The sequence below is a fragment of the Homo sapiens genome, chromosome 14, assembly GCF_000001405.40.
Source record: "Homo sapiens chromosome 14, GRCh38.p14 Primary Assembly".
Taxonomy (NCBI): Eukaryota; Metazoa; Chordata; class Mammalia; order Primates; family Hominidae; genus Homo; species Homo sapiens.
The window spans coordinates 62,495,626-62,507,720 of NC_000014.9; the positions used below are offsets into that span (position 1 = coordinate 62,495,626).

Genomic DNA, 12,095 nt, shown 5'->3' on the forward strand with positions numbered 1-12,095 from the left:
GTGAGGGAGATCACATTCTCAAAGAAACAAAATCTGAGTAATTTTATTATCATTAGACCTACCCTGCAAAAAGAATTTTCTAAGGAGTCCTTAGAGTTAAATGAAAATACTGTAGATGGTAACTTAAAGCCATATGAAGAAATAAAATTCTCAATAAAGGTAAATATGGATAATTACAAAAGGAAGCATTATTGTACCAGGAGCTTATAACTCCTCTTTTGTTTTCTAGATGCTTTTTTTAAATGAATACATTTTTTAGAATGATTATTAGTCTAAAATCTAGTATTACTGTAACTTTTGTTTGCAATGCCAGATTTGGTTTTATATAACTTAAGAGACAAATACACTTAAAAAACTTAATAGTTTGTTTCTGCACACCCAATGTATAAACATGTAGTTTTGTGACATCAACTAAAAGGGATGGGGACACAGCTATAAAGGAGCAGAGGATTTGTATGTTTTAAAGTTAGGTTGGTATAAACCCATCTTCACGGTAACCACAAAGAAAGTAGATATAAAATATACCCCAAAGAAAATGATTAAGGAATTTAAATATATTGCTACAAAACAAACTAAATGGAAAACATAGAAAGGCAAGAAATCAGAGGGAAAGACTATAAAGCATATGAAAACAAAGAGCATAATGATGCTAGTTAGTCCCTCAGTAGTAATTACTTTAAATATAAATGGATTAAACACTCCCATCAAAACACAGAGATTAGCAGAATGAATTAAAAACACATGATCCAACTATATTGTGTCTACCAATGACTCACTTTAGGGACTGCAGAAATGTTGGTCACATGGTACAAAGTTTCTGTTAGGAGGAATAGATGACAAATATCTAAGGTAATCGTTATGCTAATTAGCTTAATTCACTAATTCTGCATTGTATACATTTATCATACGTCAGTGTATATTTTTTGGCAAATATATATGTATATATATTATATATGTGTATATATATGTATATATATTTTATATATATATAGCCTTTGTCTAATATATTTGCCATCAAGTCTTTCAGGGACAGTTTCTCTTCATCTTTTTTTTTTTGGCTTTGAACTGGCCATACTTTCCTGTTTCTTTGTATGCTTTGTGAATTTATGCTATATTAGTCTGTTTTCATGCTGCTATAAAGAACTACCTGAGTTTTATAGTCTCAGGTAGTTCTTTATACCTGAGACTGATTGACTCACAATTCCACATGGCTGAGGAGGCCTCAGAAAACATACAATCATGGCAGAAGTTGAAGGAGAAGCAAGGACCTACTTCACAAGGCAGCAGGAGAGAGGGGGCAGACAAGGGTAGTGCCAGACACTTAACAAACAACCAGATATCATGAGAACTCTAGCACAAGAACAGCAAGGGGAAAGTTCATTCCCAGTCACCTTCCACCAGACTACTCCCCCAACATGTGGCGATTATAATTTGAGATAAGATTTGGTTGAGGACACAGCCAAACCATATCGCTCCACCCTGGCCCCTCCCAAATCTCATGTTCCTTTCACATTTCAAAACCAATCATGCCTTCCCACGAGTCCCCCAAAGTCTTAATTCATTCCAGCATTAACTCAAAAGTCCAAAGTCTCATCTGAGACAAGGCAAGTCCCTTCCACCTCTGAGCCTATAAAATCAAAAACTAGTAATGGGGGTACAGGCATCGGGTAAATATTCCCATTCCAAATGGGAAAAATTGGCCCAAACAAAGGGGCTACAGGCCCCATGCAAGTCCAAAATCCAACAGGGCAGGCATTATATCTTCAAGCTCCAAAATAATCTTCTTTGACTGCACATCTCACCTCCAAGGCATTGGGCAGCTGTGGCTCTGCAGGGTACAGCCCCCATGGGTGCTTTCACAGGCTGGTTTTGAGTGCCTGCGGCTTTTTCAGGTGCATAGTACAGGCTGTTGATCTACCATTCTGGGGTTTGGTGGACTGTGGCCCTCTTCTCACAGCTCCACTAGGCAGTGTCACAGTGGAGACTCTTTGAAGACTCTGACACCCCATTTCTCTTCTGCACTGCCCTAGCACAGGTTCTCCATGAGGGCTCTGCCCCTGCAGCAGACTTCTGCCCGGACATTGACATGTTTTCATTCATCCTTTCAAATCTAGGCAGAGGTTCACAAACCTTAATTCTTGCTTTCTGTGCACCTGCAGGCCCCACAGCACGTCTAACCTGCCAAGGCTTGGGGCTTACACCCTCTGAAGCCATGGCCCAAGCTGTCCATTGGCCCCTTTTAGCCATGGCTGGAACTGGAGCAGCAGGGTCCTAGGCCCAGCCCACAAAACCATTTTTTCCTCCTAGGCCTTGAGGCCTGTGTGGGAGGGGCTGCCATGAAGCTCTCTGAAATGCCCTGCAGACATTTTTTCCATTGTCTTGGCTATTAACATTTGGCTCATTACTTATGCAAATTTCTGCAGCCAGCTTGAATTTCTTCTTAGAAAATGGGTTTTTCCTTTCTAGTACATGGTCAGCCTGCAAATATTTCAAACCTTATGCTCTGCTTCCCTTTTAAACATAAGTTCAAATTTCAGACTCTCTCTTGTGAACACATATGAGCATATGCTTTTAGAGAAAGCCAGGTTACCTTTTGAATGCTTTGCTGCTTGGAAATTTCTTCTGTCAGATAACCGAAATCATCTCTCTCAAGTTCAAAGTTCCACAGATACTAGGGCAGGGGCAAAATGCTGCTAAGGCATAGCAAGGGCGACCTTTACTCCAGTTCCCAATAAGTTCCTCATCTCCATTTGAGACCTCTCCAGCCTGCACTTCATTTTCCATATCACTATCAGCCCGTTAGTCAAAACCATTCAACAAGTCTCTAGGAAGTGTCAAACTTTCCCTCATCTTTCTGTCTTCTTCTGAGCCCTCCAAACTGTTCCCAAGTTGCTTCCACATTTTATGTTTATAGCAGTGTCCCACTCTCCTGGTACCAATTTTGTATAGTAGTTCATTTTCACACTGCTATAAAAAACTATGTGAGACTGGGTAATTAATAAAGAAAAGAAGGTTTAATTGACTCACAGTTCTGCATGGCTGGGGAGACCTCAGGAAACTGGGAATCATGGTGGAAGGAGAAGCAAGGAGGAGAGGGAGTTGGGAGGATGTGCCACACTTATCAAACAACCAGATATCATGAGAATAGCAAAGGGGAAGTCTGCCCCCACAGCTCAGTCACCTTCCACCAGGCTTAGAGATGAGATTTGCATGGGGAAACAGAGACAAACCACATCATATGCTTTGTGAATTTTTTGTTGAAAACTATACATTTAAATCTAAAAATCTCTGGAAATCACATTCTGTCCCTATCCTGGGTTTGCTGTCATTTACATTGTTTCTGGAGGCCATTTTTGAGCCTTCCCGTGGGTATGCATGGTTGCTTTTTGATTTTCCCCACATATGCAGTTGTATTCAATGTCCTTCTCTTCAATTTCTGGCTCCCAAAACAAAAAAAGAAAAATGAAGGTAAGTGGAAAAGGGTGTCAGCTGTTTCACTCTCCTAGAAGTCACTTCAGCTAGGATAGGAATTTACAACAATGCAGGAGCATCTCTTTGTCTACACCTGTGTCAGCAGAAGCAGCAATCAGGAACCAGAGCACAGATTGTAGATATTTCAAAGACAGGTTCCTTTTTACCCACCTTCACTCAAGCAAGCTGTTTGCAAACTGTTCCAGGAACACAGGAGCACAGCTGCTTGCCATGTGGCTAAGACCTGGAAATGAGTGTCTGCTACCATGATAAATGCTGAAAATGAACAGATATTAACTGCAATTTACTTTCTAAGACTTTTCTCTGGAAGTTCCAAGCCTTCAGCAGACTCCAGAGTTCCCAAATACTTACATCAGACAAATTCTGCCAGTGCAATTGTTGTCTAGGTGGGGCAATGTATTCCTGGAGGTTCCTACTCCACCATCTTCCTAGAATCCTCTCCTCTCAAAATAGTGTTAAAAGTTACCTTGGTGCTGATCTATATTATTCCTGCTTTATCAATATGATTTATAAAGTCTTTGACATATTAAATCCAAAGGGCATTCATTTTGGTATTGAACATTTTTCTCAAAAAGCAAAAATAATTACAAGGACAACTAAAAAAAAAAAAACTGAAAGGCAGTTACGCAGTTGAATACTGACTAGTGACAAATACCAAGACATTTTCTACCAAATGATATTCAGTTAATGTTCTCGGTTTCAGGTTCCAAGGTATGACCCTTGTGGTCCCTTTGGGTCATGATGTTGCTCACACAGACAGACATTGAGATTCCTGTCCTCCTCTCTCTTCAGCTTGTGAAAGTTCATCCTGTCTGGTCTCTGTATCCCAAGACAGGCTGAACATTTATTTGCCTTTAGGCTGCATGTGAAGGATTCTCTTACTGCTTCTAGGCCTCCACATCAGCTCATGATTCTTCTCTGATTCCAGAGAGTCCAACAGGACAAAGTACCTCAAAAATACTCAGAGCCACAATTTGTTGTTCACATCCTTTCATTCAAGTGAGAAAGTACAAAGCTCCTGTCGTGAAGTTTATGTTTTTGATCTTGACTTAGGCTTATTTGTGCGATCAGATGAACCCACTCTAAAGTCTAGGTAAAATCCTTGAGTCCCTCTTAATTTTCCAGTTAGGCTGACCGGGAACTTCATTCTTGAACTGGAAATCTTATAGAATAGGTTATGTGGCTTATTCTCCTTAGAGAGTTGAAGAATGTACTTCTGATCATAAATGAATCAAATTCCCAGGTTTTAAATATTCTGATTCTTTCTTCCTTTTAGCTCTAGGAGAGTCAGAGATACTTTCCAGGATAGTGGCTTGGGTATAGGTTGTTGATATAAGGCAGGAAAAGAGATGGTATTCTCAGTTAACATACCTCTTAGGACCAACTGCTGGTAATTGGGCTAAGAAAGCAAAAGGATGGATAGAGATTTAGGCAGGCGGATGATTTATGAGTTATCTGACATATGGAAAAGTGGAGTCAAAGCCAAAGCTAAAATGAGAGCAGTTGAAAATTACAGGGCAACGCTCTCAAGGTAGGAACAAGCAGTAAATCAGATTTAGACGCGGAGGGCTCAGTACCCTGGATAGCTCTGTTGGAGATAAATCATTCAGATCATATCCTGAACCTGCCTCCACATTCTTTTAGAAACTGCTTATTAAAAGTAGCCTAGGCTTTTTTGGACACATTTTCATGGAGGATGGGATACAAGTGTTATTTTGATAAAAATGTTTGGTGTCAATGAATGCCCTATGAGATCAAGAACATAAATCAACAAATAGGTTGTGGTACGGAGACATAGTCTGCTCTACTCATTAGCAGTTCACGTCATGGGAACATTCCTTTTCCTTATCCAGAACCAGGTAAGACTATAACCTTGACAATTCACAGTTCATCTGTTAAATGTATGTTGTGTGGCCCTGTGATCGATGCTCCACATTTATTACTCAGAACTTTTCAGTACCTATTTGCCATACTGTGGAAAAGTTAAATTTGCCTCAATACTTTAATTAATTCCAACACAGAAATGTCAATGAACAGTCATGATGAGTGCTCAAAGGAAATGCCTGTAAGACAGACAACAGGTGACTCATTGCAAAGAATATACATTTTAGATGTGCAAAGAACATAGTGTGCTTAAAGCTTTTCATTGGCAGATGATTGAAATATGGAGGCTCTTGTGAGGTACACAGTGACTGTTATCATGAGTTTTTCTGATATGTTAAAATTTCTGGAAAATAATTGACACAGCCACAAAATCACTAGTATAGCCTTAGTCTTGGTGTACAGATGGATGATGTCAATTCTATTAAACTCAGAGTAGAAAAGTTTTTAAAAGATTAGCCTGAGAATTAAGCAGATTTTGCTGTCATACAATCACTTATGAGTCCTTGCAAGTCAGCCTTACCAGATACCAGCTAAGAATGAGAATTTGAGTCATAAAGAGCAATGAGTACTACAAAGAAACAAAAGCATATTCAAATCTAATTGGATGATTAATACTAAAATAGGAAGAGATTTAACAGGAGCAGACACATTTGAACTTGTCCCTTTTCCATTTTCTCTTAGAGATATGACATTTCATCCTTTCCTCAAAACCTAATAGTATAGGTTATGTGTCATACATATAAAATAAGCACATAGTATTCCCTTTGTTTCCAGTTTATCACTTAAGAGTGCCTCTTTGTGGGTCTGAAGTTGTATATTCTTAGAGCCAGTTACCTGCATATAAATATATAGAAAAAAGTGAATAATGCATGTTTCTCTTCCCTAATTCCCTAATATACAAAATATAAGAGAGTTGAGGTTTTTAACTCATGCACTGGGAGACTCAGTAATCTATCTATGGCTTCTTTGGCAAGGTTGTAATTGTGATGCAGTACAGGATGCAAAAGCTCTTAGGCTAGATAAGTACTAGAAACCTCTCATCTCTTGTTATCTGGGTTTCCAAGGTGATGAGAGTGTAGGAAGAAACTAGAAGATCAGGTGTAATATCATGGCTAATCATCTTTCTAAAAGATTTTTTTTTCCAGGATATTACCTGACTCTCACAGTGCCAGGGATTTTCCAGGCAAGACTAGCATCTTTCTTAAGTTACAACAATGTGTGAACAAATATAAGAAGCTACAAATACTGGGAAGGTAGATTCTGATCCCTGTAACAAAATAGTTGAATAGTAGAGCAGTCCAGAGGTACAAATTTGACAGTTTTATATTCCAGGTCCCACCACTGGTCGTTGGGGGCCAAGTGGAAGAAGGAAAGGAATTAGGAAATAATGAATGAATATATAGAAATAAGTATACGGCAAAGAGCTTAAAAAAATGCTTATAGGAAGGTAATTCTCAGCCAGGCACAGTGGCTCATGCCCATAATCCCAGCACTTTGGGAGGCCGAAGCTAGCAGATCACCTGAGGTCAGGAGTTCAAGACAAGCCTGGCCAACATGGTGAAACCCTGTCTCTACTAAAAATACAAAAATTAGCCAGGCGTGGTGGTGCGTGCCTTTACTCCCAGCTACCTGGGAGGCCGAGGCAGGAGAACTGCTTGAATCCAGGAGGAGGAGGTTGCAGTGAGCCGAGATCACGCCACTGCACTCCAGCCTGGGCAACAGAGCGAGATTCCATCTCCAAAAAAATAAAAAATAAAAAAATAACTCTCCTGCTCTTTACAACTCTGACACCAGTGTTTTTCCTGTTTCTGAAAAGAAGCAGGAGGATTATAAATTCCTCTGAATCTATGACAGAAACAAAAAAGATACAATGTATCATCAAGTAGAAGAGAGATTTATGACCTGAAATTGGTACATTTGTTCATATTTGTGCATTAGCAAACAGAAATAGGAACAGATCTTTGTCCTTAAAACATCTAAACTATAAGCACTTGAAGACAAAGATTAACCAATCTTTGAGTTGATATTTTCTAATGCAAGAAGGTTATGAATCTGATTTGAATTTCTCTGAGTATAGAGGAAGGTAAAGAAATACCAGAACCAGGGTAATGAGAAAAAAATGTAATTTCCCTTACCCAGTCAGTATGTAGGCATTCATCAATGCACTAGTGAAAGGAAATTTGTGGTTAATGGTGAATTCCCACACTCCCTATTGATTGTACAAATAGGGAGTGCAATTTGTACTCCTACAATGACACTTACATATGCATATCTGAAATTAGCTTGTATTGTCTATTAATAGAGTGTTTCTGGTTGATTCTGTCATATGGATTCTGTCATAAAGAATTCAGTTTTTCTTACCTAATAACACTTGTTGTCTCTATAAAGTCTTAAAATACAGTTTTTCACAAAAAGCCTGGACTATATAGACTCACATAAAATATTGTGGAAAATACCATTGTTCAGAATTGACAGACAAAATAAACATGGGTCCTTGTAGTCCACACATCCACAGGGAAGGCGTGATTAGTGAGCTAATGTTCAGGCACAAAGAATTATAATACACAAACTTGTGAGCCTGTGGAAAGCTTGAAGTGTAGTGGAGGCCGCAATTCCTTTAAGAGCCACACTGCTTACAGTGCATGAACTAACAAACACATTTTGTGTGACATAAAGTGTGGGGGCTGTGTTAACTGGGCATTACTCTTTATGCTCCAGCTACTTTTCCATATTTTATATTACTTGAATAAGTTCCTGAGTATGCGGTGGGAAAGCATGAATAAACGTAAAAGTTTACACTCTGAAAACTAAGAATTTATATAGAAAGCCTTCTTTGTTATGAAAGTAACCCACGGCAATTGACCAAAAGGCATATTGTTAAACTTCTGGGACTTTTTTAAAGCGTATAAATAAAGGGTACACACTGAGGCTCCAAACCTGCTTAGGTGTCTCCTAGTTCTGTAGCAGGTAGCTTGCCTGAAATTTTTCCCTGCCTGATAACTAATCTGGTTAACAATAAATTCTTGTGTTTTCATCCAGCAGATTAGTCCCGATATCAAGGCAATGTCAAGAGTGAAGGGGAGGATCAAGATTTTTTTTGAGTGATTGTTTCCTGGAAGGTAAGTTAGATACAGCAAAGATTGAAACAGGACTCATTTTGTAGTGGGGAGTTTTGGATGCAAAAGAGAATAACTATGTGGAAGTCTAAAACAGATGTTAAAGTTACTACATATTGCAAGGCATTTATTGAAGAAAGACTTGAGATTGTGACCTTGAGTAGTGGCTTTGCCCAGAATAGGCACTAAGGCCAGGTGGTACCTGCTACTAAAAATTGGAATCTTGTTATTGCTCCTTTTGCTCAGATCTAAATGCCTGAGCCAGCACCGTTATGCTACACATTTACTTCTCAGTTTCCTAAACAAGGATGACAAGTCTAATTTTATTATCCTTACTCTAGCAAAATACCCAGTGTCATCTGTAAGGACAATATGATCAAGTCCTTTGGCTGAAGAATGTATTTCCTCAGCCATAATGTCCCCAAGGCTTCTAAATAAAACAGATATTCAAACTTTACTTTTAGAAAAAAAATCACTATGCTGCATTTCTAAAAATAAGTTTTGTTCAGAAAGAGCTTCTGTAATGCTAGAAGGAAGCATTCTAGCTGAAGTTTATAGAGAGTGGCTGTGGAATCTCCTAACTGATGTATGGTCAACAGCCTGACATTAACTCTAGTCATGGGTAAAATGAAGCTAAAGGGTAAATGATCTGAAGCCTAGTGAGGAAAGACCAAGAGCAGCAGTGATTGAAGTTCTATGGGTCTTCTGGGTCAGACACAAATGCCTGCAGGGTCCAGGTTGGCAATGCATATTTGTAAGAAGCAGTGGGTATAATAGAACATGTAGCCTTAGGGACTATGACATGTCAAGCACACACATCTGGGGGCTAAAATTCGCATATGAACCACTAGTTTGTGATTCCATGCCAAAAAGGTCCTGTAAGTGTTTTCCAAAAATTTTCCCAGTGTTATGTGAAAGAGCCAACATATAGTTGAGTCTGTCATCTCTTATGATCATAGTTATTGAGACCATCTCTATGCGAGATACAAGGAACATCATCCATTACCACAGAAGAACCCATGCCCTTCTGGGCCCAGAAAACTCTTATTAAAATACTATCTTGGTAAAAAATTTTAAGGCTAAAATCGAGGGAGAAGATTTTTATTAACCAATAAAATAAAATATTTAATTATAATAATATTTAATTAATAATAAAATAAAATATTTAAACTAAATGCTGCATAGATTACAAGATCTAAGGTGAAAGAAAATTTTGGAGATAAAAGGAATGGAATCAAGGTAATAGGGCTATGTTTTCTGCTACAAACCAAATCGAGAAAACGTATGATTTTTTGGTGACTCATTGAGAGAATGCTTTTATCATGTGGCAAGGAGAAAAACTCTTTTGGAAGGAATAAGACCATTTTGTCCTAATCAAAACATTAGAAAATAGTTGAAAATAACATTCTTCTTCTTCCTTTGGAAACTCAGTTGTCTACTCAGTTGGAAGAAGTCTTTTCTTAAGATCAAGAGAAGAAGGCTCTTCTGTGTTGTGATTCTTTTAATGTTCCAACAAACAATAAAAGACATGCACACATAAAGCTTAACTAATTGATATCTTTCAGGAGTATTAAAGAGAGGCACAGAAGAATGCTTCTGCATAGGACATGAAAACATACTTGGTAATCAGCGATCATGTGGTAGCAGCCACACTGTTTAAGATCATGGATCAGAAATGTCTTTAAGATGTCAAACAAATGAAAAACAAAAACAAACATTTCATGGTCATGGACAGGAAAATCAATATTGTTAAAATGGCCATACACCCCAAAGCAATTTATACATTCAGTGCTATTCCTACCAATGGCATTTCTCACGGAATTAGGAAACACAATTTTAAAATTCATATGGTACCAAACAAGAGCCTGAATAACCAAAGCAATCCTAAGCAAAAAGAAGAAAGCTGAAAGTATCACACTACCCAACTTCAAACTATACTACAAGACTACAGTAACCAAAACAGCATGGTACTGTTACAGAACTAGACACATAGACCAATGGAACAGAACAGGGAATTAACTCCCTATTCAATAAATGGTGCTGGGTAACTGGCTACCCATACGCAGAAGACAGAAATTGAATTCCTTCCTTTCACCATACACAAAAATCAACTCAAGATGGATTAAAGACTTAAATATAACATCTAAAACTATTTAAAAAAACCTACAGGAATACCTAGAAAATACCATTCTGGACAGAGACCCTGACAAAAGTTTTATGACAAAGACTCCAAAAGCAATTGCAACAAAAACAAAAGTTGACAAGTGGGACCTAATTAAAAGAGTTTTTGCACAGAAAAAGAAACTACTAACAGAATAGACAGACAAACTACAGAATGTGAGAAAAAGTTGAAAAAGTATAAATCAGGCAGAGGTCTAATATTCAGCATTTATATGGAAGTCAACTCAATAAGCAAACAACCTCATTAAAAAATGGGCAAATGACATGAAATGACATGAACAGACACTTCCCAAAAGAAGACATACACATGGCCAACAAGCATAAAAATAAGTGTTCAACATCACTAATCATTAGAGAAATGCAAATCTAGTAATAAGTGAAAAAATAACAGATGCTGATGAGGTTGCAGATAAAAGGGAATGCTTATACACTGCTATTGGGCATATAAAGTAGGTTAGCCACTGTGGAAAGCAGTTTGGAGATTTCTCAAAGAACTTAAAGCACAGCTAACATTCAACCCAGCAATCCCATTATTGGGTATATACCCAAAGGAGTATAAATTGTTCTACCATAAAGACACATGCATGTGTATGTGAATCACTGCACTATTCACAACAGCAAAGACACACATGGAATCAACCTAGATGCCAGCAATGGTGAACTGGAAAAAGCAAATATTGTATATATACACCATGGAATACTATGCAGCCGTAAAAAAATAACAAAATCATGTGTTTTGCAGCATCATGGGTGGAGCTAGAGGCCATACATAATACTAAGCAAATTAACACAAGAACAGGAAACCAAATATTGCATGTTCTTTCTTTAGGCGGGAGCTAAACATTGAGTACAAATGGATACTAAGAAGGGAACAATAGACACTGGGGCTTACTTGAGGGCAAGGATGGAGAAACTGCCTATCAGATACTATGGTCATTACCTGGGTGATGAAAAAATAATTTGTACACCAAACCCCTGCAACTTATCCATATGACAAACATGCACATGTACCCTCTGAACCTAAAATAAAAGCAGAAAAAAATGAAAAAAAAATCCCGGTCTCAAAAAGAAAAAAGTTCTTTAACTAGAATTTCATTCATTCACTCAACAAACACCACCAGCACTAGGAATGTATCTGGAAATAAATCCCTGCGCTCTTCAACTTCCAATCCAGTGCAATTAGCAAATAAATTAATGCATGTTGAACATATCAGATAGTAATATGTGCTATGAAGAAAATGTAGTATAATAAAATAGAAGGAGATGACAGATGCTGTGGTCGCAAAAGTGGTCAGAGAAAACCTCTCTGATAAGGTAATATTTGAGCTGAGACTTTGAGGAAATAATGCGGTGAGCCATCTCATTCCATTACGTTTGTGCCCTGGGTAGAAAACAGCAATTTCCAGTTGTCAAAGATCTGAA

The 12,095-nt window shown here is 38.0% G+C and overlaps 1 long non-coding RNA gene across 1 annotated transcript in view; it reads left to right on the plus strand.

The window, feature by feature from the left end:
- The window catches only part of LOC105370529 (uncharacterized), a 149,443-nt gene extending 137,717 nt beyond the window's left edge, over positions 1-11,726 (plus strand). The window contains exons 2-3 of the long non-coding RNA XR_943932.3: positions 8,416-8,495; positions 10,058-11,726. This is a non-coding gene — a long non-coding RNA (uncharacterized LOC105370529). The remainder of the gene's footprint in view (positions 1-8,415; positions 8,496-10,057) is intronic.
- The last annotated feature ends 369 nt before the right edge of the window (positions 11,727-12,095 follow it).